A 27,192-nucleotide genomic window follows, 5' to 3' on the forward strand; every position below is an offset into this window, starting at 1 on the left:
CATCCTCCTTGAACGAGAACTAATACTCAATAGTAACAATGCTCTATTCACTCTTATGTTTGATAAGGAAAACAAGAAGTCTCTTAATATTAGGACTTCAATGTAATCACTATTTTATACAATCTTAATTAAAAAAGGAAGTATTTTATTGTAAGAAATGATAATGTGTGCTAAAAAAAATTGACAGTAGAGGCCGGGCATGGTGGGGCTCACAAGTGTAATCCCAGCACTTTCGGAGGCTGTGGCGGGTGGATCACCTGAGGTCAGGAATTCAAGACCAGCCTGGTCAACATGGTGAAACCCCGTCTGTACTAAAAAAAAAAAAAAAATAAGACAAGGTGGGGGAGAAATCCCAAATTTTGCTACTCAGAAGTAACTCAAACATTTCGATGAATAAACTTCTAAACGTCTATATATATTCATATGATACCAACACTTGTTTTTTTTTTTGAGACAGAGTCTCAGTCTGTCGCCCAGGCTGGAGTACAGTAGAGTGGTCTCGGCTCACTGCAACCTCTGCCGCCCTGGTTCAAGCAGTTCTCTTGCTTCAGCCTCCCGAGCAGCTGGGATTACAGGCACCTGCCACTGCATCTGGCTAATTTTGTATTTTTAGTAGAGACAGGGTTTCACCATCTTGGCCAGGCTGGTCTTGAATTCCTGACCTCGTGATCCACCCGCCTCGGCCTCCCAAAGTGCTGGGATTACAGGCATGAGCCACTGCGCCCGGCCCCCACGTTATGTGTTGTATGTGGGATCATGTTTCTGTTTTTTTTTTTTTTTTTTTTCAGCAACAGTATTATGAACATCTTTCCATGTCAATACATGGAGATATGTGTCATAATTTTGAATGGCTGCATAATATTCCATTTTATATACATACCCTAATTTTTAAAATCTATATTCAGAATGATGGACATTTAGGTTGCGTTCATCACTGAAACATCCTCCATTAATTCTTTTTTCTTTTTATTTTTTACTCTAGCCTCCCAATGTGCTGGGATTATAGGCTTGAGCTACCACACCTGATTGGAAACTCATTAATTCTCCTTGTGGATATTTTTACATATGTATTTGAATGTCTCCTTGAAGTAAATCCTTAGAAATGGGATTTCTGGGTTAGAGAGAAAGCTTATTTTAAACAATTCCATATCTTACTGCTTTCCAGAAAAATTGCATTCATTTTCTAGTTTCCCCAATTAGTGCATAAGAATGGCCATTTTCTCATACCTTTCCAAGCACTGGGTTTTGTCCATTTAAAAATTTTTGCCAAGGAAAAAAAATCAGTTTTGTTCTTTTTACGTTTCTTGTTTATTAGTGAGATTATGTATCTTTTCATATTTTTATTGGCCTGACAAATATTTTGGTGTTTTGGCTGTAGCTCATGGTTGACAGCTCAGAGAGAGAAAGATCTGAGGGAAGATGGATGCAAAAGCTCGAAATTGTTTGCTTCAACATAGAGAAGCTCTGGAAAAGGACATCAAGACATCCTACATCATGGATCACATGATTAGTGATGGATTTTTAACAATATCAGAAGAGGAAAAAGTAAGAAATGAGGTAAAGCTCTCTGAAGCAGTCCACACTTCCTTAAAAATTTTTAGAATTTCAGAACTTGTACTGGTCTCCACTACTTTATGTTGCATACATATTCATTGTTGTATACTAAACTACTTAATTTTTTTTAGCCCACTCAACAGCAAAGAGCAGCTATGCTGATTAAAATGATACTTAAAAAAGATAATGATTCCTACGTATCATTCTACAATGCTCTACTACATGAAGGATATAAAGATCTTGCTGCCCTTCTCCATGATGGCATTCCTGTTGTCTCTTCTTCCAGTGGTAAAGATTCAGTTAGTGGAATAACTTCGTATGGTTTGTATCCATTATACCTTCTATCACTTTGCTATCAAAATTGCTTTGGGTTTGTCTTATTGTAGATGTAATCTTTTGAAGAGAGTGTGACCAGTTCACTGAAAACTGCATGTTAAAAAAATTGTAGTGATGTTTTCAATTTAAATATTTTTTATTTGCATCCACATTAACTCTCAACTTTTCTTCTTGCCCAGTGAACTGTACTGCTGAGATAATAATATGTCTACCCTAATTTTTAGAGACAATAAGACAATTTATAGGCCCTTGTTTATTTTCCAGTTCTATGTGTTTATAGAGTTTATAGGAAAAAATAAGAATCTTTAGAAATATATGTTCTTGAAAGGTATTCCATAAATGTTCTTCCTTTTACACTTGCCTTCCCAGTCTTCAATATGAGAGGGAATGAAAAGTCAGGAAATAATTGGGTGAGTAAAGCAGATATAGATAGAAACTTCCATTTTCTTTAGTCATCTTGAAGGATATATGTTTGTCTTTGCTCTCTGTTGTCTGAGAAATCAGAAAATTGAAGTTAATATGCTAGCCACATTTTCTTAACTTCTCTTGGAAATTTTCAGGCTAAGCCTCAGCTTTGCTCTTTGTTTTTTATGGTATTACTTCAGTAATTATTCCAAAGTTCTATTCATTCATGCTTGTTTTGTTTTGGATTTTAGTAAGGACAGTCCTGTGTGAAGGTGGAGTACCACAGAGGCCAGTTGTTTTTGTCACAAGGAAGAAGCTGGTGAATGCAATTCAGCAGAAGCTCTCCAAATTGAAAGGTGAACCAGGATGGGTCACCATACATGGAATGGCAGGCTGTGGGAAGTCTGTATTAGCTGCAGAAGCTGTTAGAGATCATTCCCTTTTAGAAGGTAAGTGTCTTAGTCCATTTCATAGTCTAGTAAGGTAGATAGACATGTAAAAATATTATGATATATCAATACGTGATAAATTGAATGGTAGAAACAAGTATAAGGTACAGAGTTAGAACAAAGGAAGGATATGTTAACTCTCTGAAGGGAGGGGATGGATAGGACAAGCTTCCTGAATGAGATGACATCTTAGCAGGAGTTTGGAGAAAGAATAAAAGTTAGCTAGGCAGTGAAGGTAGGGATGGGAGACTAGGGAAGGTGGGAAAGGTAGTGGGTGGTTACTGGGGTGGGGAAGGGCATACTGGGTAGAAGAGGGTTTAAGAAATGTTGGCAGGTATACCACTGACCTTAGCGATCCTGGTAGGTTCTCAGGGTATTCATCAGGAATAGTTGTATAGCTCCATCAGTTCTAGGCTGCCCCCATTCATCAGTGTGTTCTCATTCATCAGTGTGTTCTCTCTGTATGACACTTCTAGGGGAATTCAAAGACAGTTCCCAACTTCTAGTAGTTAATAATTTTTTTTTTAGTAGGCCAGGCACGGTGGCTCATGCTTGTAATCCCAGCTGAGGCGTGGATCACCTGAGGTCAGGAGTTCAAGACCAGCCTGGGCAACATGGTGAAATCCCGTCTCTACCAAAAATACAAAAAAAATCAGCTGGGTGTGGTGGTGAGCACCTGTAATCCCAGCTACTCGGGAGGCTGAGGCAGGAGAATCACTTGAACCTAGGAGGCGGAGGTTGCAGTGAGCTGAGATCGCACCACTGCACTCCAGCCTGGTCAACAAGAGCAAGACTCCATCTCAAAAAAAAGTTTTTTGTTTTTTTTTTTTTGATATGTATGTATAACATGATCTACGGTTAAGACAGTTTAGACAGAATGATTGGAATAAGTAGTAAGCCTCTAAGAGACTTAGAAATATGGAGGCTAGGGTATATCTATGTGTACACATGGCCTCAGTTTAATTTCATAGCCTTTGTAAGTGGTATAGACTATACTCTTGTCAGAAGTATGCCTGATTCCTAACCCTTGGTTTTTCCCCTCTATCATTACAGAGAAGTTTCCTGAGACTTAGCTCCTTTCAAGTCTCAGAGCCAAGGATTTTTTTAAGCCCCTACTGCAAAGTTGATCACTAAGGATATTTCAGGATAAATTTAGCTTAAGTTCCTTTAGTGTGAAGGAATGAGTTTTCCTTTCAATATTATGAACTTTCTTTGTGTATTTATAATATTCCAATTTATAGGTTTAAAAGAACACTCCCTCTCCCCATTTAAATTGCTCTACATTATTGTGATGAATTTTCAATTCTAGGGATTAAAATTGACTAACAATCTATGGAATTAAATATTCAGGAGTCATATTGTATAAATTGTTATCTTGGAACAGGTTTTAACTACTTTGTTTTGAGAAAATCCTAGAGATACTGGCAACTGTACATGTGAGCTTAATTCATATTCCTCGTACTTTTGTGGGATCTCAAGTTCAGAGGACTGAGTTATTCATATTCCTTAGTTCACGGCTTATTATAGTAGATCTGTACTAGGCTGAGCTTTTCACTGTATTTATTTATTTCCATTTCAAAATTTCCTATTCTTATTTCCTTTCCCCTCTCCATGGACAATCCTAATGTATTTAATGTATGTTCTTTGTAAATGTCTGTGTAAAGTGTGTACTCTTGTAAAATATGTATGTTGTTGGTATGCAGGTATTTTAAATTTGCATAGATGTTATGGTATTATTCTGTTTTTTATCTCCCATGACACAATGTTTTTAAGATTTATCCTTGTTGCTATGTATACATGTTATTTGTTACACCTGATTGCCACCAACCCATTTTACTGCTCATTACCCTAAGTAAATGGATATGTAGATTGTATCCAACTCTCTGCTGCTGCAGCAAAGCTGGGTTGAACTTCTATGTGAGTAAGAATTTCTTGGGTATTTGTAGCTAGGAGCAAAATTAGTAATTATTTATTTATTTTTGTTTTTTTTTAAAGAGACAGAGTGTCACCCTGTTGCCCAGGCTGAGTGCAGTGGCCATATCATAGCTCACTGCAGCCTCAAACTTTTAGGCTCAAGTGATCCTCCCACCTTAGCCTCCTGAGGAGCTGGGTGCACACGCCACCATGCCTGGCTAATTATTTATTTATGAAACAGGGTCTTGCTTTGTCACCCAGGCTGGAGTGCAGTGGCACAATCTTGGCTCCCTGCAACCTCTGCCTTCTGGGCTCAAGTGATCTTCCCACCTCAGCCTCCGGAGTAGCTGGGACCACAGGTGCATGCTGACACACCCAGCTAATTTTTGTATTTTTTGTAGAGTTGGGGTTTTGTCATGTTACCGAGGTTGGTCTCGAACTCCTGAGCTCAAGCAATTCACCCACCTTGGCCTCCCAAAGTGCTGGAATTGCAGGTGTAAGCCACCATGCTTGGTGTGTTTTTAAACATTTTTTTGTAGAGACAGGTTTTTGCTATCTTGTCCAGGCTGGTCTCAAACTCCTGGGCTCAAGTGATGCTCCCGCCTTGGCCTCCCAAAGTGCTGGGGTTACAGATGAAAGTCACCATGTCCAGCCAAAATTACTAAATGATAGGATATACAAATACCAAATTTGATTCCCCTCCAGTCTGTACATTTCCCCCAGATGAGTATGGGGACTCCGATAATTCTACTTGTGCAGTGACGGTTGGTATGATCCAGCTTTGTAATTTTTGCCAGGCAAACTTCTATAAAGTTGTGTCTTTTACTTTGCATTTCTCTGGTAACTCAAGTTTGAACATTTCTTCATAAGCTTGTTGTTAGCCTTTTGGGTTTCTTTTTTTATGGATTTTGTTTATATTATTTGTCTATTTTCCATTGGGGTTTCCAATTTTTTTTTCTTTTTGCTTTTTAGGAGTTTCTTATATATTCTAGACATTAAACTTTGTTGGTTTTAGACTTTTATTTTATTTTATTTTATTTTTTTTGAGACGGAGTTTCGCTCTTGTTGCCCAGGCTGGAGTGCCATGGCGCGATCTTGGCTCACCACAATCTCTGCTTCCCAGGTTCAAGCGATTGTCCTGCCTCAGCCTTCTGAGTAGCTGGGATTACAGGCACCCACCACCACGCCTGGCTAATTTTGTATTTTTAGTAGAGACGGGGTTTCTCCATGTTGGTCAGGCTGGTCTCGAACTCCCGACCTCAGGTGATCCCCCTGCCTCGCCTCCCAAAGTGCTGGTATTACAGGCGTGAGCCACTGTGCTCAGCTGGTTTTAGACTTTTAAATACCTTATTTTAATTTGCCATCTGATTAATTTTTTTCCTGGGTGTTCTCAGTAGACGAGAACTCTGATGTAGTCAAACTAATCAGTTTTTTTTTTTGTCTTCTAACTTGTGTTTCCTGAGTTTTGTTCAAGTAGTCCTATTACAGTCTTATTATTCATATTTAGTTCTTTATTCTCTGGAGTCTGCCTTTGTATGTCCACTAATTCAAGAATAGGTGCTTTCCCAAAGATAAATTTTAATCTCTGGAGTTCACTTCCATTCTCAAATACAGGAACATTGGATTTTTGACATTTAATTGTATTGCAAAACCTTTTCTTTTAAAAGTACAGATAATATAAGAGATCTAAATTTGATTAAAATTGTGGTTCCTATGGAAATGTTTTCTTTGGGTGGTGATTGGCATAAATTAAAGAATATTAAGTTGTTAACTTTTAGCTGGGTGTGGTGGCTCGTGCCTGTAATCCCAGCACTCTGGGAGGCCGAGGTGGACAGATCATTTGAGGTCAGGAGTTTGAGACCAGCCTGGCCAACATGGTGAAACCCCGTCTCTACTAAAAATACAAAAATTTGCTGGGCGTGGTGGCGCATGCCTGTAATCCCAGCTACCCAGGTGGCTGAGGCATAAGAATCGCTTGAACATGGGAGGCAGAGGTTGCAGCGAGCCAAGATTGCACCACTGCTCTCCATCCTGGGTGACAGAGTGAGATGCCGTCTCAAAAAAAAAAAAAAAAAAAAAAAAAAAAAAAAAAAATATATATATATATATATATATATATATATATAGTTTTTAACTATTTATGTCTATACAGTTTTAAGTAACCCAGTTGTCTTTTGAAATTTCAATGCTTTAATTTTTTCTTATTTGTAGGGAAATAGTAAAGAATTGACGTATCTTTAAATACAGTAGTGACATTTTACATTACTGTATTCGTATGTTGGTTTTTAATCATGGATGCTTTCTTCATAGGCTGTGTTCCTATTTGTTTCTGTCCTTTCCAAGATTTCTTTGTGTTATTAGATTATTAATTGCTACCAGGATAAGCCTCCTGTGAAAGTAGTGTGGAGTTTTCCCTGAATAAAGGCAACTTTTCTCTGAATTAGTTTCTCTGAGTGAATTGTAAATACAGCCTCCTCATGCAAAGCTAAATTGCTCCCTCTTGTGCCCATAGTCAAGATGTTTAGATTCTTTCTGAAATGTGGAATTAATGGTTCAGTTTTTAACTAAATGTTATATTGTGATGGTTAGAGATTTACATATCAGATGGTCATTTGGTCTGTTTGCCTTTTTAAAGCTGGTAGTGTTTTCTCTTTTCTTGCATGTATTTAAATGCCCTAAATTTTTAGTTATACATTTAGGGAAAAAGGCCTTTGACCCTAGGTAATAGGTACATAAATTAAAATATGAAAGAATTTACTAGGTAGCCATATCAGGATGCTTTCTTTACCTTTAATCTTGGGATGATTTTTACAAATTTTATTTTATTTTATTTTATTTTGAGACAGAGCCCCATTCTGATGCCCAGGCTGGGGTGCAATGATCTCAGCTCACTGCAACCTCTGCCTCTTGACAGTCCCCCTGCCTCAGCCTCCCAAGTAGCTGGGACTACAGGTGTGTGCCACCACACCCGGCTAATTTTTGTATTTTTAGTAGAGATGGGGTTTCACCATGTTGGCCAGGTTGGTTTCGAACACCTGACCCAAGTGATCCCCTCGCCTCGGCCTCCCAAAGTTCTGGGATTACAGGTGTGAGCTGCTGTGCCTGGCCGATTTTTACAAATTTTAGGTAGTACAAATTTAAAAAAATGGAAACTTAAGGCAACAGATAGTTTATTTGTCTGTTTTTGTTTGTTTAAATATTTTTAAAGTAGTATTTTCTTTTTTTTTTTTTTTTTTTAATTTATTTTTTTATTGATAATTCTTGGGTGTTTCTCACAGAGGGGGATTTGGCAGGGTCATGGGACAATAGTGGAGGGAAGGTCAGCAGATAAACAAGTGAACAAAGGTCTCTGGTTTTCCTAGGCAGAGGACCCTGCGGCCTTCCGCAGTGTTTGTGTCCCTGATTACTTGAGATCAGGGATTGGTGATGACTCTTAACGAGCATGCTGCCTTCAAGCATCTGTTTAACAAAGCACATCTTGCACCGCCCTTAATCCATTTAACCCTGAGTGGACACAGCACATGTTTCAGAGAGCACAGGGTTGGGGGTAAGGTCACAGATCAACAGGATCCCAAGGCAGAAGAATTTTTCTTAGTGCAGAACAAAATGAAAAGTCTCCCATGTCTACTTCTTTCTACACAGACACGGCAACCATCCGATTTCTCAATCTTTTCCCCACCTTTCCCGCCTTTCTATTCCATAAAGCCGCCATTGTCATCCTGGCCCGTTCTCAATGAGCTGTTGGGCACACCTCCCAGACGGGGTGGTGGCCGGGCAGAGGGGCTCCTCACTTCCCAGTAGGGGCGGCCGGGCAGAGGCGCCCCTCACCTCCCGGACGGGGCGGCCGGCCGGGCAGGGGGCTGACCCCCCCACCTCCCTCCCGGACGGGGCGGCTGGCCGGGCAGAGGGGCTCCTCACTTCCCAGTAGGGGCGGCCGTAGTATTTTCATTTAAAAAGAAAAAGAAATAAAAGTTCTCCTTACTTGTTCCTTTTTGCTTTCTCCTAAATTCTTAATCTTTTTATTTTTATTTTTGAGACAGAGTCTCACTTTGTCACCTAGGCTGGAGTGCAGTGGCATGATCCTGGCTCACTGCAGCCTCAACTTTCCAGGCTCAGGTCATCCTCCCACCTCAGCCTCCTGAGTAGCTGGGCCACAGGCGCACAGCACGTTGCCTGGCCAAAATTTTTCTTTTTTTTTTTTTTGAGACAGAGTCTCACTCTGTCGCCCAGGTTGGAGTGCAGTGGCGCGGTCTCGGCTCACTGCAAGCTCGGCCTCCCGGGTTCACACCATTCTCCTGCCCCAGCCTCCCGAGTAGCTGGGATTACAGGCACCTGCCACCACACCCAGCTAATTTTTTGTATTTTTAGTAGAAACGGGGTTTCACCGTGTTAGCCAGGATGGTTTCGATCTCCTGACCTTGTGATCCGCCCACCTCGGCCTCCCAAAGTGCTGGGATTACAGGCATGAGCCACCGCGCCCGGCCTTGCCTGGCTAATTTTTTGTATTTTTTTAGGGACGTGGTTTCACCATGTTGCTCAGGCTGGTCTCGAAATTCTGGGCTCAAGCAGTCTGTCTACCTTGGCCTCCCAAAGTGCTGGGAGCCACCGTGCCAGGCTCTAAATTCTAAATCTTATCCTAGAGATAATCTTGGTTAACAATTCGGAGTAAATTTTTCCAAACTTTATTCTCTGCAATTATAAATATATACACATACAGAACACAGCTTTAAGTTTAAGTGAAGTCTCAAGGACTTGCTGTTTCATAACTGCAAACTTACACTGAAGGAGGCCTGAGGGGACCTCAGGAAACTTTAGGAGTAAGCAGTAGGGCTTGTCTACCTTCTTCTAAGACATTGGCACTGATAATCAAACCAGGCTTCACAGCCCTGTCTCTACCTCAGTTACTGTAGAGTTCTCTGTCTCCAGTTGTTTGTTATATTTTAGACTTTCATGCAGTCACTATTCAGTACATTGCCAAATTCTGATCTAAGTCTTCTTCTGTCATTCCTATGTGTTTCTGCCATACCCTGTAGAACTCCTCTGTGAGCAGGAAACTCTCTTGTATCATCAACTTCTTAGAATATTCGCCGTCTTGCCTTATCTGAAACTGGGCAGTTTCCTGAGTTTACTACCTTCTCCATAACCTTCTTAAGTGACATGGCAACTTTTTTCCTTTATATCCTACATACTTTAGCACCAGGAAATGGGTGGGCGTTGTTCTTGCTCTCTGTTGTCTCATCCAGACCATTAATACTCCCTTCTCCAGCTGAATGCTTTGAGGTTCATGTCTCTAACCTTTCCTATTGATGTAATCACCGTCTCATTCATTGACGATTGGAGTTCGTAGATTATAACCTTCCTCTTATGCTCTTTGTCTGTTAGCACTCTTAGTGATTTTGATACCTGTGTGGATGAGTCATCCAAAACCTTAACCTCTTACCTCCTTAACCTCTTTGTCTCCTGTGAACATTTCTTAACTCTTCCCTGATTACAGGCTAGACCCTGATCTTTGTCATTACTAGAACTACAGCACTTTTGAAATCTTGATGTTGAGCATTCTCTTCTACTCTTTACCCACCTCCACCCATTTTATTCAAGTTTAATGCTATAGACTTACCAAGACTTCTCATCCATTGATTCCAGAATATCCTCTCTATTCATACTATCAGTCCTCTCCTAGACTTCAGCCATCATTGTCCATCATTTTATTGTCCATCATTCAGTTGCTTCTTAGCACATACTCTTGACTCTTTAGTCCTCTCCTTATCTGGAGTGAAAACCGATTTTTTTCTCTATGCTGGGAAGTGGAATAGGTATTTGCTCCTCAAGGCTTCATCCAGACCATTGCTTACGTCCTCTTTTCTGGGACTGATCCTTTCCTTGACCTTGTGCAGGTTCAAAGACTCCATGTCACTTCAAGTTATAAAAAGTCTAATTTTCATAATTAATATGTCAAGTCCTATTCAGTACTCCAAACTTCATTTACATATAAGGTTCAGTTGGGCCTGCCTGAAACTTTGGAAGCCTGCAATGGGATAGTAGGTTAAGGTGGGTTGTTTCCAGCTTTTTCCTGTTGCAAACAATGCTGCAGTGAATATTCTTGTGGATGCAGAATAGTGTAGAAGTTGAACATTGATACTTTAAGTTTGAATCTCAACTCTGCTTCATTAGCTGTGTAACTTTGGGCAAATTACTCAACTTTTCTATTCTTCAGTTTCCTCATTTTCAAAATGAAGATAATAGTGTCTGCTTGATAGTGTGCTATAGGATTAAATGAATGAACATACAGAGAACTCTTAGAATAGTGCCCAATAAATATCTGATGTAAATAGATCTTTGTGCATATATACAAGTATCTCTTTTGGGTGATTAGGTTTTTAAAGTAGTGATTTATATTTGTATTTAATTATTTGTGAATACCAGTAAATAAATTGCCCTTTGGTGTAATTTAATTCATTTATCTTTGAGTCTGTTTTTTGCTTTTTTTGGTATGTTTAAGATCACATAAATCTTTATGATTGATGCTACTGGAATGATCTAATGCTACTGTTTACCATATTTTACACATAGGGACCCCTCTTTTTTATATATGTATATTTATGTGGAGGTGATTAAGTATAGTCTATGAAGACTTAAGATTTTGGCTACTGACAATATGTAAATAAAAATACATATTTCAAGATGTTTTATGGCTCAATTAACAATGATGATGATAACAGTAATAATAATCATGGCCATTCCTAGTGTTTACTAGTTTGAAGCTTAATATTGGTAAGTTGCTCTCAGATCCATAACACTAATAACCTGTTTTAATCCTTTATACTTAACATAGCAATTTCACATATTTTATATCATTAATTTTTCACAGCAACTCTGAAATAGGTGGGCTAGACAGCCTTATTTCAGTATAATCAATGAGACTGAGGTTAAATGATTTGATAAAGATTGCTTAGCTAGTAAGCAGTAGAGCCAGACTTGAGTCTAACTTCCTATTTTAAGTCTGTATAAGAAAACCATAATGGGTGAGTTATATGTTCCAGGACATCAGTAGTTCTCAACGAGGGGTGATTTCACACCCCCCCAGGTGACATTTGACAATGTTTGGAGACATTTTTGTTTGTCAGTACTGGTGAAGGGGAATCCTATTGGCATCTAGTGGATAGAGACCAAAAAGGCTGTTAAACATCCTATAATGCATAGGACAGTCCCTTACAACAAAGAATTGCCATCCCAAAAAGTCAGAAGTACAAGGTTTAGAAACTGTGCTGTGCAGTGATCACTGACAACACAGGACAAAGATCATAAAACTTTACTTGGTAAGATTTTCCCGATAAGCCACAGATTTACTTCAAACTTCAGTTTCTTCACATCTTCAACTTGTCTTAGATTCAGGATATAAAGCCTACCAGTATCTTGCACGTAAAATTTCTACTCTAAATCAAGAGAAGTTGAAGATGTGATGGGATTGTAAATTGGAGTAAATCTGATGCTTAACAGTAAAACCATTTAAAGGAGTACTCCTGTTGAAAGGCCTTAAGTTCATTATTCTTTCCCTCACTAGGTTGTTTCCCAGGGGGAGTGCATTGGGTTTCAGTTGGGAAACAAGACAAATCTGGGCTTCTGATGAAACTGCAGAATCTTTGCACACGGTTGGATCAGGATGAGAGTTTTTCCCAGAGGCTTCCACTTAATATTGAAGAGGCTAAAGACCGTCTCCGCATTCTGATGCTTCGCAAACACCCAAGGTACCGATGGTCAAATTTAGTTGGTGTGTCAGGTCCCATGTCCCAATAAGATGTAACTACTGACCTCTTGAGAACATCATGCCTTTTTCCTGCTGTTCTATAGGGAGGATAAGAGAGAACCATTGCGGCCAGGTGCAGTGGCTCACGCCTGTAATCCCAGCACTTTGGGAGGCCGAGGCTGTTGGATTACCTGAGGTCAGGAGTTCAAGACCAGCCTGACTAACATGGTGAAACCCCATCTCTACTAAACATACAAAATTAGCCAGGTGTTGGTGGCTCATGCCTGTAATCCCAGCTGCTCAGGAGGCTGAGGCAGGAGAATCGCTTGAACCCGGGAGGCAGAGGTTGCAGTGAGCCGAGATCGTGCCATTGCACTCTAGCCTGGGCAATAAGAGTGAAACTCCATCAGAAAAAAAAAAAAAAAAAAAAGAGAGAGAAAGAAAGAAAGAACCATTGCTTTCCTGCTTTTCTCTCTTGTATTTAAAACGAAAAAAAAAAGTGGCTGCCACTCGGCCTAAAATTGCTTTTTCTCTTTGCATGCTACCTACCACATCATCTCATATGTACCATTGTAGGCTTTCAGGAAATGTCTTAAGTAGGTGAGTTGGTGAGTGGTCTTTGCTAGAAAGTGCAAACTTCTTACTTTGAATCCGTTATTTCTAATGGGTTAACATAGAACAACAGAGAATAAATGCAGGCAACTGATAAATGTCAGGAAGGGGCCAGGGACAGTGGCTCATGCCTGTAGTCCCAGCACTTTGGGAGGCCATGGTGGATAGTTTGCTTGAGTCCAGGAGTTCGAGACCAGCATGGGCAACATGATGAAACCCTGTCTTTCTAAAAAATACAAAAATTAATCTGGTGTGGTGGTACACACCTGTGGTCCCAGCTACTCAGGAGGCTAAGGTGGGAGGATCACTTGAGCCTATGAGATTGAGGCTGCAGTGAACCCAGATTGTGCCACTGTATTCCAGCTTGGGTGGCAGAGGAAGACCCTGTTTCAATTAAAAAAAAAAAGTCAGGAAGGATTTTTAATGGGGCTCTTCTGTTTGATTGTCTTAGTTTCTAGAAATATACGTGTAACTCTTCTACTTCCATGTACTTCAGGAGTGAGTTTGTTTTGTTTGTTCAACAGTTAATTAATTCAGCAAATACTTACCATTATAATTATGTGCCAGGCACTGTTATCAAGTGTTTCACAGTTTTCATTAGCCAAAAGGGAGACAGCAGTTTAGTTGCTGCTTGTCTTAAGAGTATAACCTTGGATTCAGTCAACAATTTGATTTCTGTCATCTTAACAGCCTCTCTTTCATTTGTTCATTTAACCAACATTGAGTGTTGTGCCAGGTTCTGGGCCAAGTGCTGCAAGTACAAAGATAAATAAAGCATTCCTTGGGAATGTTATAGTATACTGAGTGAGAGTTAGGTAGTGGCTCTGCACTTTTTAAAAATGCCCTAATGCACCCAAGGATGCAGTATACTTTCATATGTAGCAGTTGCTGAGTATGGCAGTGATTCTCAAATTGGTAAGGGTATTAATATCAGAATATAGGGTGAGAAGAGTATTTTTGGGAAAAGCCTACTAGGTGATTCTGATGCATATTCGTTATATTTTTATGGTGCAATCTCTGCTCACTGAAGCTCCGCTTCCTGGGTTCAAGTGATTCTCCTGCCTCAGCCTCCTAGTAGCTGGGACTACAGGCTCCCCACCACACGCCGGGCTAATTTTTTGTATTTTTAGTAGAGATGAGGTTTCACCGTGTTAACCAGGATGGTCTTGATCTCCTGACCTCGTGATCTGCCCACCTTGGCCTCCCAAAGTGCTGGGATTACAGGCGTGAGCCACTGCGCTCGGCCCCTCCTTCTCTTGATATTGATCTGTGTAGAGGAAATAGGATTGAGATCACTAACCCTTCCCTCTTTAATTGCTCAGTAACTTTTCCCTAGTTCTACTTTTCCTTTTTTGCAAAATTAAAATTGACTTCTGTTGAGTAAAATAATGTAGCCACTTTCAGATGTGTCAGACTAGCTTACAAAGCCAGGCATATTTTTTTAATCTCTCAGTCTCATTTGGTTTGTGCTTTTGTAATTTTTCAACCTATGTATGTGCCTAGAGTATTTCTTTATTTTTATTTTTATTTTTATTTTTTTAGATGGAGTTTCGCTCTTGTTGCCCAGGTTGGAGTGCAATGGTGCGATATCGGTTCACTGCAACCTCTGCCTCCCGGGTTCAAGCGATTCTCTGCCTCAGCCTCTTGAGTAGCTGGGATTACAGGCTTGTGCCACCTCGCCTGGCTAATATTATATTAGAGACGGGGTTTCTCCATGTTGGTCAGGCTGGTCTCAAACTCCCGACCTCAGGTGATCCGCCTGCCCTGGCCTCCCAAAGTGCTGGGATTACAGGCCTAGAGTATTTTTTTTTTTGTAATGCACAGCCATAGTGTGTCATTCAGACAAAAATGTTATTGTATAATTATGCTATCAGGTTTTAGTTATATTTTTTCCCCTCATCTGTTCTAGTGAGTTTAGAAAAGTTTTTGGAGAGAACAACTGGGAACTGGCATAGAGGTTCTTGGTTACTATGAATAAACAAATTGATTAAAAAAAACCACTTGTATACCAAATGAAAGGTAATATTCTTTTAGATTACAACATATGAAATTGCTAGTTTTTAGGTAAAAAATGGTCACATATCATCATTATTGTATGATTCATTCTAATGCTAACCTGAGCTCAGTTCTAGTTTGGTTTTGGTGCTTAAAGACTGAGTTGGAAAATCCCATTACTTGGATAGTAATGGTCGCTTTTTTTTTTTTTTTTTTGGCACTCAGTAAGTGATGGCTGAACCTTTTATGGTAGGATCTGTAATTTTAATATGTTCTGATTTAGGGTTTGAGGAGAAGGCAGTCTCTAATTTTTTTTTTCCTTATTTGAATCAGCATATTGAGAAGAGTATAGCAAAGAGGAAGAATCATTTTCCTAGATCTAGCCATCTATTTGTTTTAAAAAAAATTTAATTTGGTAGATTTTAAAAGACACTGGTGGGATTATCTTTTTAAAAGGAAGCTTAAGATAAGTGTCATTAGTGATTAATATTTTTTTTTTAAATTAGGTCTCTCTTGATCTTGGATGATGTTTGGGACTCTTGGGTGTTGAAAGCTTTTGACAGTCAGTGTCAGATTCTTCTTACAACCAGAGACAAGAGTGTTACAGATTCAGTAATGGGTAAGGATTATTCGTTTACTTTTTAGTACCTTTATATTTAATTTAATTACATTTAAATATGTGACATACCAAATTACTTACTTTGTCTTGTGATTTTTGTTTGCAGGTCCTAAATATGTAGTCCCTGTGGAGAGTTCCTTAGGAAAGGAAAAAGGACTTGAAATTTTATCCCTTTTTGTTAATATGAAGAAGGCAGATTTGCCAGAACAAGCTCATAGTATTATAAAAGAATGTAAAGGTATGGTTATTTATTTGTTTATGAGGAGATTATAGGGAGTTATATAATTTCCCTTTTGTTAATTGAGCTAATGAATATGGTAATTTAGCACATGAACATCCAAAAACTTTTCTGGGAGATTTAGTATTTTAGGTTCTCTGATATCTTAAATGGATACATGATATTATGGTATTTATTTATTCATTAAAATAATATTTACCATCTACCCACAGTGTGTTAGAGACCACATTAGTGAGAGAAGTGAGACACAGATGTGACCTCTGCTGTTAGAGTTAAAAATAGAGTGAGAATCAGATTTTAAAACTTGTTTTTGCTTGGGATTTTATAAAAATAGTGTTCTAATTTGGTAAGTAAAAACTGGTGTCTTAATTTGCATTTTTTTTTAGCGAAGTTAAACTTTTTACTTGTTTATTGAATACGTTTTAAGAAGTTATCCTTGACTTTAAGAAATTATCCTTGACTCACTTTTCTTTTTTGATATAAGTATTTTTAATTTATTTCTAAATACTCAAAAAATAGAAACTATTAGCTCTTTGTCATATTTTTACAAGTATTATTTCCCAGTAAAACAATTTTTTAACTTAAAATTTATATATAGAATCTCGCTGTGTTGCCCAGGCTGGTCTTGAACTACTTGCCTCAAATGATCCTCCTGCCTTAGCCTCCTAAAGCACTGGGACTACAGGCATGAGTCACCATGTCCAGCCTGTTACCCAGTTTTTTGTGTACCTTTTATTTGTTGTATTCTTTTGACATATAGAAGCTTAAAATTTTAAACAGTCAAATCTATCAACTCTTAAAATTATTTCTTTCATTATTGTTATGCTTGGAAATACCTTATTTTTCTTCTTTTTCTTTTTTTTTCTCTTTTGAGACAAGTCTCACTCTGTCGTCCAGGCTGGAGTGCAGTGGCGTGATCTCGGCTCACTGCAACTTCTGCCTCCCAGGTTCAAGCAGTTCTTCTGCCTCAGCCTCTCGAGTATCTGGGACTACAGGCATGTTCCACCATGCCTAGCTAATTTTTGTATTTTCAGTAGAGACGGGGTTTCGCCATGTTGGTCAGGCTGGTCTCGAACTCCTGACCTCAGGTGATTGCCCGCCTCAGCCTCCCAAAGTGCTGGGATTATAGGCATGAGCTACCATACCTGGCCACCTTATTTTTCATTCTGCCATCAAATAGACACACAGTTTTGTTTGTTTATTTATTTATTTATTTATTTTATTTATTTTTTGAGACGAGTCTCACTCTGTCGCCCAGGCTGGAGTGCAGTGGTGCGACCTCTGCTCACTGCAACCTCTGCTGCCCAGGTTCAAGTGATCCTCCTGCCTCAGCCCCCTAGTAGCTGGGATTACAGGTGCGTGCTACCTCACCCAGCTAATTTTTGTAGTTTTAGTAGAGATGGGGTTTCATCATCTTGGCCAGGGTAGTCTTGAACTCCTGACCTCGTGATCCACCTGCCTCAGCCACCCAAAGTGCTGGGATTACAGGCGTGAGCCACCACACGTGGCCAGTTTTGTTAATTTTTAAAGAAATCTTACACTTAGAAAAAATGCTTAATTTGTAGTTATTACAAAGGGTGATGCATGTCCATTTTGAAAATGTGTGAAACTAAAAAAAAAATAGAAATTATCCATAACCTGATAATTATTAGCATCATGAGAGTATTGCCTCCAGTCTTTTAGAACAAAGATTTAAAAAGTTGAGATTATGTATATGTGGTTTTGGATTTTGCCCTTTTTTTTTTAAAGAGCCAGGGTCTTGCTCTGTCACCCAGGCTGGAGTGCAGTAAGATCACAGCTCACTGCAGGCTTGAATGTCTTGGCTTAAGCAATCCTCCTGCCCCAGCCTCCTGAATAGCTGGGACTGCAGATACCCACCACCACACCTGGGTAATTTTTAAATTTTTTTGTAGGGACAGGGTCTCACTATGTTGCCCAGGCAGGTCTCAAACTTCTGCCCTCAAGCAATCCTCCCACCTCAGCCTCCTGAAGTGCTAGGACTACAGACACATGTCGCCACACCCAGCTGGATCTTACCCTTTTTCTATATCTTGAGCATTTTCCCATGTTGTTAAATATTTTTTTGAAAAAAATTTACCAGTGGCATAATATTGATATATCTTAATTTATTCAACCACTTCTGTATTATTGGACATTGTTTACGTTGTTTAAGATTTTTTCACTATTCTAAGTGTGCTGTGATGAATATCCTTAAACTTAATCATTCTTTTCTTTTTCTTTAAGACAGAGTCTCACACTGTTCCTCAGGCTAGGATGCAGTGGTGCTGTCATGGCTCACCGTAGCCTCAACCTCCTGGGCTGAAGCAATCCTCCCACCTCAGCCTCCTAAGTAGCCGGCACTATAGGCACACACCACCACACCTGGCTGATTTTTCTAATTTTTATTTTTAGTAGAGACAAGGTCTCATTATATTGCTTAGACTGGCGCATATATATATATATATATATATATTTTTTTTTTTTTTTGTAATGACATCTTAGCCAGATTTGATCTATGTTATTTTGACTTAATAAAGATAATCAGGAACTTACTGAATGAAATCTTTCTTATTTCTAATTTTTTTTGGGATAAATATCTAGAAGTGAAGTCAAGAGTGATAAATACTTAAGGCTTTTGATAACATGCAGCAGAAATTGTTTCTTAGTAATGTAAGTAAGTAAGTCGATTCTTATTAGTGACAAAATAGGATGGTATTAGCATAGTGACTTCATTTTTTTTTTAAAGGCTCTCCCCTTGTAGTATCTTTAATTGGTGCACTTTTACGTGATTTTCCCAATCGCTGGGAGTACTACCTCAAACAGCTTCAGAATAAGCAGTTTAAGAGAATAAGGAAATCTTCGTCTTATGATTATGAGGCTCTAGATGAAGCCATGTCTATAAGTGTTGAAATGCTCAGAGAAGACATCAAAGATTATTACACAGATCTTTCCATCCTTCAGAAGGACGTTAAGGTGCCTACAAAGGTAATGGGATCAATGATCCTCATCATTGGGTATTTATTGCATGTAAGCTTTGATATAGTACTGAGCATGTTGTTACAGAGAACCTTGGAAGGATAAGACCCAGGGGACTGAGGTGGTGGGGTGTTGGGTGTAGAAATCCCTCTGCTGTTAGCTTCCATTAAGGGCTTTGTGTTGAACTCAGGAGTTAACCTATTTCTGTGGTTCTAGTGCAGCTGAAGAAGCATCTGACTTCTCTTTCTCTTTTCTATCTTGAGGAGTAGCTGAGTTTCTTCTTAAGAAATGGAGACATTCTTACTCAGGGCTTTAAGATACCGTTTTTTTGTGTGTGTGATAATACCTGTCTACAGTCCTGGTCATTGTACTTTTGTGGCATATTAAATACTTACAACAATTCCTAGGTGTTATGTATTCTCTGGGACATGGAAACTGAAGAAGTTGAAGACATACTGCAGGAGTTTGTAAATAAGTCTCTTTTATTCTGTGATCGGAATGGAAAGTCGTTTCGTTATTATTTACATGATCTTCAAGTAGATTTTCTTACAGAGAAGAATTGCAGCCAGCTTCAGGTACTTGCATCTTGGTTTACTTTTTTTTTTCCTTTTTCCTTTGAAATAATTTTAGATTTATTGAAAATTTACAAAATAGTAGATAGTTTCTGTGCATAAGTCCTTCACCTAGCTTCCCCTAATATTAACATTTTATATAACCATAGTACAGTTGTTAAAGCCAGAAAATTAACATTGATACAATACTGTTCACTAACCTACGTGTTCTTTTTGTAGTCCAGGCCAATTTAGGATCCCGTATTGCATATGATTGTCTTGTTTCCCTACTTGTCATTTTTTTCCGTCTCCTCAAATCTGTGAAAATTTATCAGTCTTTATCTTTCATGGCCTTGTCACCTTTGAAGAGTACTGGCTAGTAATTTTGTACAGTATACCCAAATTTGGTTTTGTGTGATGTTTTTCCTGACTAGATTGAAGTTATAGATATTTGGCAAGAATACCAATGATGTTGTATCTTTCTCAGTGGCGTCATAGGCTGAGAGTACTTGGTGGTTTTTAAAAAATTTTTTGTAGAGATAGTGTTTTGCCATGTTGCCCAGGCTGTTCTTGAACTCCTGGGCTCAAGTGATCCACCTGTCTTGGCCTCCCAAAGTGCTGAGATTGTAGGTATGAGCCACTATTCCCAGACTCCTGGTGTTGATATGTTTTATTATGGGTGATGTTAATGTTGATAATTTGTTTAAAGTGGTATCTGCCAGGTTTCTGCACTGTAAAGTCATTATTTTGTGGGGAGATTCTCTGTATATATATATGTATTTTTTTTTTTTTGAGACAGGGTCTTACTGTGTTGCCCAGGCTGGCATGCAGTGGCTCACTGCAATCTTAAACTCCTGGGCTCGGTTGGTCCTGAGTAGCTAATTCCCGAGTAGTTGGGTCTGCAGGCATATGCCACCACACCTGACTGATTTTTTTTATTTTTTATTTTTTGTAAAAAAATTAAATATACGGATATCTCTCTATGTTGCCCAGGCTAGTCTCGAAGTCCTGGCCTCAAGTGATCCTCCTACCTTGGCCTCCCAAAGTGCTGGGATTACAGGCGTGAGCCACCGAGCCCGGCCTCTCTGTACATTCTTAATAGCTTTGGAAGCTGAAGTTACTGTGATGCTTAGGTTATAAAATTGTTTCTGGCTTCTGAAACGTTTCATTGGGTTGCAGGATCTACATAAGAAGATAATCACTCAGTTTCAGAGATATCACCAGCCGCATACTCTTTCACCAGATCAGGAAGACTGTATGTATTGGTACAACTTTCTGGCCTATCACATGGCCAGTGCCAAGATGCACAAGGTAAGATGACCCATTTAAAAATTCTTTTATCTGACTTCCCTTTTTCCATATGTATTACAAATAAGTGCTTTTTTTCTGTTATTTTTTGTCTTGAATTTTGTTCATATTGCTTTCCATTTGATTTTTTTTTTTTTTTTTTTTTTTTGAGACAGGGTCTCACTTTGTTTCTCAGGCTGGAGTGCAGTGGCACAATCTCAGCTCATTACACCCTCACCTCCTGGGCTCAAGTGATCCTCCCACTTCAGCCCCCCATGTAGCTGGGACTATAGGCACATGCCACCATGCCTGGCTAATATTTTTGTATTTTTGGTGGAGATGGGGTTTCACTATGTTGCTCAGGCTGGTCTCAAACTCCTGAGCTTGACGTGAGCTCAAGTGATCCACTCGCTTCAGCCTCCCAAAGTGTTAGGAGTACAGGCATGAGCCACCGCGGCTGGCTGAAGATTTGAATTTTTATGTAGTTAAATTTACCACTGTTGTTGTCGTCGTTGTTTGGTATTTTGCTTTGCTGTCCTGTTCATAAACATGTATTGTTTTATTAGTATAATTTTTTATTAGTAAAAATGGGATTATAGCTTGCATAATTATTTTTGTTTTTACCTGTAGTGATTAGAAAAGGTACCTTAGTAACTAGTAAATGAACCACCTCAGAATTAATCCTCTTCTTACTAGTAGCTTTCCTTTTTGGGCAGTATGGATTTGTTTTGTAAGCTTTGAGAGGAAATGGATAGTGGAAAAGTATATTCATTGATTCAATAAATATTTATTGAGTGCTTGTTATGTATATTGCTCTTCATTAAGAGGATAAAGCACAGGCACAAAGTCATTGCTCTCACGAGTTTATGTTCTGGGAGGAGGCAGACATTAAACAAATTTATTATATTTCAGTGGGTAGTTAAGTGCTCAGAAGAAGGACAGAGCATGGAAGGGGAAAGAAAGTGATGATAGAGGGGTAGAATCATCATGATTTGCTTATGGGTTTGGTATGCATTATACGAGAAAGAGAAGAATCAAAGATGACTCCAAGAATCAAAGATGACTCAAACCCCAGTGGAAAGAACGGAGTCCATGAACTGAAACAGGGGTCTTTGGGAGAACAAGCTTTTTCCTGCAGAGAATGGGGATGGTTAAGAACTCATTTTGGATATATTAAGTCTGATATACCTATTAAGGCATCTGGCTGGAAATATTGAATAGGCAGTTAGATATATGAGTCTAGAATTCTGGGGAGAATTATAGATGAAAGATGAAAATAAGGAATTATTAGCACATAGATGGTATTTGATTGAAGTCATGACTACCAAGTAGCTACTAAAAATGTTTACATTTGGAAAACCATATGTACTTTCAGTAAATTTTCTATGCTCAGGTATGTTATTTCTTGGTTATGATACATAGTAAATTGTTGTAGTTTGTTTTTTTATCTAGCAAAATATATTTACATTTAATAGTGTATATTGGAATGATGGTATTCCAATAAATACTTGTGCCCTAATTTACTTAACCAAACTCTAGTTATCGAACATTTAGGTTTTCAGTTTTTTTGGTCCTTATGATGTAATGAGCATTCTTGTTTATCTTTGTACCTATGTTGTTTCCTTGGCAAATTCCGAGAAGTAGAATTACTGAGCCAATGCATCTTTTTAAAGCTTTTGACATGTATGATAGTGTGGCAGGATTCAGTTTCTCTTTAGCCTTTTTTCTGACTTTAAAGGTAATGGTTGATTTTCATTGGAAAAACAGAAAAAAACGATGAAAAGGAAAACAGAGATCACAACCATTACTAATGCTCTTGTGTATAGTTTTCTAGATCATTTTGCTGCTTCTATAAACATACTTGTCTCTTAAAACCAAATGGGATCATAATAGAAATAGTCTCATATATTGCTTTTTACCATTTAATTACATTGAATGGTCATCTTTTCATGTCATTTATATAGAGTGACATGATTTTTAAAGCTGCATATTATTTCATTGTATAGCTACATTATGAATGGCCAGTTGGTTGATGGACAATTAGATTGTTTAAGCATATTCATCTGGTTATTTTCTTAGGATACTTTTTTATAAGTGGAATTTCTGGGTCAAATAGTATGTGCAGTTTAAATTTTAATACAGATTGCCAGACTGCTCTCCAGAAGGGTACCCTGTTTTACATGCCTACCAACAGTGGTTGAAAGTGTTCATTTCCTCTGATTCTAGCTAATCACCTCCTCTCCTCTCCTCCCTCCCTTCCCCTCCCCTCCCCTCTTCCTGCCCTCCCCTCTTCCTGCCCTCCCCTCTTCCTGCCCTTGCCCTTTCTTTGACAGGATCTCACCAGGATGTCACTCTGTTGCCCAGGCTGGAGTATAGTGGCATGATTTCAGCTGAAATCACTGCAACCGCCACTTCCTGGGCTCAGGTGATCCTTCCACCTCAGCCTCCTGAGTAGCTGGGAGCACGGGTGTGCACCACCACACCCGGCTAATTTTTGTATGTTTTGTAGAGTTGAGGTTTCACTGTGTTGCCCAGGCTGATCTTGACCCCTGGGCTCGAGTAATCCACCCTCTTCAGCCTCTCAAAGTGCTGGGATTACAGGTGTGAGCCACTGTGCTCAGCCCCAGCTAATATTCTTGTTACTCCTTTAGTCTTCAGAAATCTGATACTTTAAAAATGGTAAATTTTTCTTGTTCTCCTTTGATTACCGGTGAGATTTTGGCCATCTGTGCTTTTTGTTTTGTGAATTGTGGCTCCCATCCTTTGTTTGCTTTTACCTCCTTTACCTATTTTTTCTCTTGACGTGTTTTTCTTTTTCTTACTGTTTTATTAGAATTTTCTATAAAAAATAATTTTCTATAAAAATAAGGATTGAAGCCCTGATCTATCATATGTGTTACAAATAAGTATTTTTTTAAAACTTCTTTGGTCTTGAGTTTAATTTATATTGCTTTCTACTGTATTGAAGATTTGAATTTTTATGTAGTTAAATACACTTTTATATAGTTAAGTGCAGTTTTTCTTTTTGTTTGATATTTTGCTTTGGGGTCATGTTTACAAAGATTTCCTTCACTACAAGCTTACAAAAATATTTATTTTTATTTTCTAGTATTTTTAAATGTTTTCTATTTTCTATTTAAATTTTTAACCAACTGGAGTTTATTTGGAGCTGAAGTATGAGGCCCATTTTATGTTTCTTTGGAACTATGGATGTGTTCTTTCTCACTAGCTTTTGCATCCTTTAAATTCTAGATATTTACTGTTTCTCTTAGCAGTGTGAGGTTAATGATGTTATACCTAAAATTTTTTGATCTCTAACAGTGCTGCTGATACTACTTTTTGTTTTTTAAAGGAACTTTGTGCTTTAATGTTTTCCCTGGATTGGATTAAAGCAAAAACAGAACTTGTAGGCCCTGCTCATCTGATTCATGAATTTGTGGAATACAGACATATACTAGATGAAAAGGTATATATATTAACATGAAAAATTAGTGCTAAAAAGGAATCTCATTTTTTTTTACATTTAATTCTAGATTTAATGATGGGAATGAGCAGAATAGAAGGGGTGAAGATAATTTCCCTCCTTTGATTTTTGGTTATTCTAATTAATTTGCTTCCTACCCTACTGGGAAAGTAGGTAGGATTGAAGTTTAAAAGCTAGGAAAATAAGATGTTCAGTGGTTTTTTTAAAAAAAGAATGTATTAAGAAATGTGTTTGATAATGAGATTTTTACCCTATGTTTAAAAGTCAGAAGAGGATTACTATATATTTGTTACTTAATGGTTGGCTGTTCAATTTTAGTTCATATAAAGAATATTTCATTTAAGCTTTTAAAGTGGCAAGATCACAGAAATGGAAAAATGTCAGATCGTGGCTCTGATTGTGTTTCTAAGAGATTTCAGTTTATTTGTAGGATTGTGCAGTCAGTGAGAATTTTCAGGAGTTTTTATCTTTAAATGGACACCTTCTTGGACGACAGCCATTTCCTAATATTGTACAACTGGGTCTCTGTGAGCCGGAAACTTCAGAAGTTTATCAGCAAGCTAAGCTGCAGGCCAAGCAGGAGGTCGATAATGGAATGCTTTACCTGGAATGGATGTAAGTAGGTTAGGAGAGAAACCAAAGGGAGTGGTGCGCTAACTATATCATTATTTTTCAGGTGGTGAATACGATCACTCCAGGAGGATTTAACTACTTTCGAAAGGGCTGGAACTTTTAATAAGCATTCTTACTTATTGAAAAGTTCTAGAGAAGTAAGCATAGGAGAAAATGATTGTATTTTCAAAGAATCCATATAAATAGATGCCTGTAAGGCATTTGGACAAATTATCCTAAGTATTCAGTACTAAGTGCTTGACTTACTGTAATTTAGTATAGTGGTGAGGAGCATGGACTTTGGAGCCACAGAACTGGGTTTGAGCCTCAGTTCTAAAACCTAATAATTCTGTGACTTTGAACAAGTTACAGGTTTTTCTCTCATATGTAAAATGGAGATAACAATCCTTTGAAATAAGTGCTGTTTCCATGAAGATTTTATTTATTTATTTATTTATTTATTTTTGAGACAGAGTCTCACTATGTTGCCAAGGCTGGAGTGCAGTGGTGTGATCTTGGCTCACTGCAACCTCTGCCTCCCGGATTCAAACGATTCTCCTGCCTCAGCCTCCAAAGTAGCTGGGATTATAGGCGCCCACCACCATGCCTGTCTAGTTTTTATATTTTTAATGGAGATGGGGTTTCGTCATGTTGGCCAGGCTGGTCTCAAACTCCTGATTTCAAGTGAGCTGCATGCCTCGGCCTCCCAAAGTGCTGGGACTACAGGCATGAGCCACCACGCCTGGCCTTCTGTGAAGATGTAAATGAGATAATGGCTGTAAAGTAATTTGCACTTTCCTTTGCACATATAGTCCTTATTAAATGACCACTGAACCCTGATTATTCTGTCTCTTAAAGGAGTCTCTTTTGCTCTTACCTTAATCTTGTAAGGAAAGGTATAATCTTACCTTTCCTTATAAAAAGGAAAGGATAGCTATTAATACCATCTTTTTAATGCCTGTTATAATGCTACATAATCAAGTTATTCTATTTAATCTTCAAAACAAGTTTATAAGGTAAATTTTATTTTTATTTTATTTTATTTTATTTTTTTTGAGACGGCGTTTCACTCTTGTCGCCCAGGCTGGAGTGCAATGGCACGATCTCCGCTCACGGCAACCTCCTCCTCCTGGGTTCAAGCCATTCTCCTGCCTCAGCCTCCCGAGTAGCTGGAATTACAGGCATATGCCACCACGCCTGGCCGATTTTGTATTTTTTTTTAGTAGAGACAGGGTTTCTCCATGTTGGTCAGGCTGGTCTCGAACTCCAGACCTCAGGTGATCCACCCGCCTCAGCCTCCCAAAGTGTTGGGATTACAGGCGTGAGCCACTGCACCCGGCCTAAATTTTATTTACCTTATAAAAATGTAAGTACCTAAAATTGACCTCTGATTATACAAATGAGAAAATTGAGGCACAGAAAGATTTGGACTTGGCTAAGTTCATGTGACTTGCTGAATGGGATTTAAACCTTGGATCTTGTGGCTGGGCATGGTGGCTCATGCCTGGAATCCCAGCAATTTGGGAGGCCGAGGCGGGCGGATCACCTGAGGTCAGGAGTTTGAGACCAGCCTGGTCAACATGGTGAAACCCATCTTTACTAAAAATACAAAAATTAGCTGGATGTGGTGAATTGTTTGAACCTGGGAGGCAGAGACTGCAGTGAGCCGAGATTGTGCCACTGCACTCCAGCCTGGGCAACAAAGTGAAGCTCTGTCTCAAAAAACAAAAAAAAAAAAAACAAAAAAAAAACCTTGGGTCTGCCTGGCTTTATTTTGCATGCTCTTTCCATATGTCATGCTTCCCTTACAGCTTGAAATAATAAATATGAGTGGCTCTCTTTTCATATGTATAATTTATATCTAAATAGAAGTCCAGGTTGGTATCTGTGATCTTTATGGCATTAGGCCCTCTTTCCAAATAAGTCAGACTACTGTAGGTGATTTTCTTGATTCAGTTTAGTTCAAGAAGCGTTTGAGTTTCTGTACTGTGCTAAGCACTAGCATTTGAGTTTCTCTACTGTGCTAAGCACTGTTACTAGATGTGAGGTCTTTCCCCTAAGGAGTTCAAAATCTCGTAGTGAAGAAAGGAGTTTAGGCAAATAATTACAATATAATGCAATGAGTATAACAACAGAACTATGTATAAGTAGAGATAGAACTGATAAGTATTTGGCTTGGAAAAATGAGGAATTCAAGGGAGGGTTCCATGAAGGAGAGAATGGTATCTGAGAGAATTAAAATTTTTTTTTTAAGTTAAAATGTTTAATTTTTGTTGGTTTTATTTATTTATTTATTTTGAGACAGGACCTCACTTTGTCATTTAGGTTGAGTGCAGTGGTATGATCACTGCTCACTGTAGCCTTGACCTCTTGGGCTCAAGCAACCCTCCTGCTTCAACCTCCTGAGTAGCTGAGA

At 38.6% G+C, this 27,192-nt stretch overlaps 1 protein-coding gene across 9 annotated transcripts in view, besides 1 other annotated feature; it reads left to right on the forward strand.

The window, feature by feature from the left end:
• APAF1 (apoptotic peptidase activating factor 1) overlaps positions 1–27,192 on the forward strand; it is a 90,144-nt gene that overhangs the window by 1,651 nt on the left and 61,301 nt on the right. For 3 of the 9 annotated variants that reach the window (NM_181861.2, NM_181868.2, XM_047428759.1), the window contains exons 2-12: positions 1,379–1,557; positions 1,686–1,875; positions 2,547–2,744; positions 12,220–12,403; positions 15,516–15,628; positions 15,735–15,866; positions 18,613–18,851; positions 19,250–19,417; positions 20,573–20,704; positions 24,033–24,146; positions 24,595–24,779. In NM_181861.2, the coding sequence (NP_863651.1) occupies positions 1,420–1,557; positions 1,686–1,875; positions 2,547–2,744; positions 12,220–12,403; positions 15,516–15,628; positions 15,735–15,866; positions 18,613–18,851; positions 19,250–19,417; positions 20,573–20,704; positions 24,033–24,146; positions 24,595–24,779 (1,793 nt within the window). In that variant the 5' untranslated portion in view covers positions 1,379–1,419. Of the gene's footprint in view, positions 1–1,378; positions 1,558–1,685; positions 1,876–2,546; positions 2,745–12,219; positions 12,404–15,515; positions 15,629–15,734; positions 15,867–18,110; positions 18,419–18,612; positions 18,852–19,249; positions 19,418–20,572; positions 20,705–24,032; positions 24,147–24,594; positions 24,780–27,192 lie in introns of those variants that run through there. The other 6 variants (NM_013229.3, NM_001160.3, XM_047428760.1 and 3 more) reach the window with 5 other exon arrangements.
• Positions 2,423–3,622: an enhancer, noted in NCBI's record as "BRD4-independent group 4 enhancer chr12:99043141-99044340 (GRCh37/hg19 assembly coordinates)". NCBI's record gives its function as "activates an origin of replication core promoter dependent on BRD2, P300/CBP, MED14 and CDK7 cofactors, and independent of BRD4, by STARR-seq in HCT116 cells {active_cell/tissue: HCT116}" and the evidence as "EXISTENCE:reporter gene assay evidence [ECO:0000049][PMID:35650434]".

This window comes from Homo sapiens, chromosome 12 (assembly GCF_000001405.40).
Source record: "Homo sapiens chromosome 12, GRCh38.p14 Primary Assembly".
Classification (NCBI taxonomy): Eukaryota; Metazoa; Chordata; class Mammalia; order Primates; family Hominidae; genus Homo; species Homo sapiens.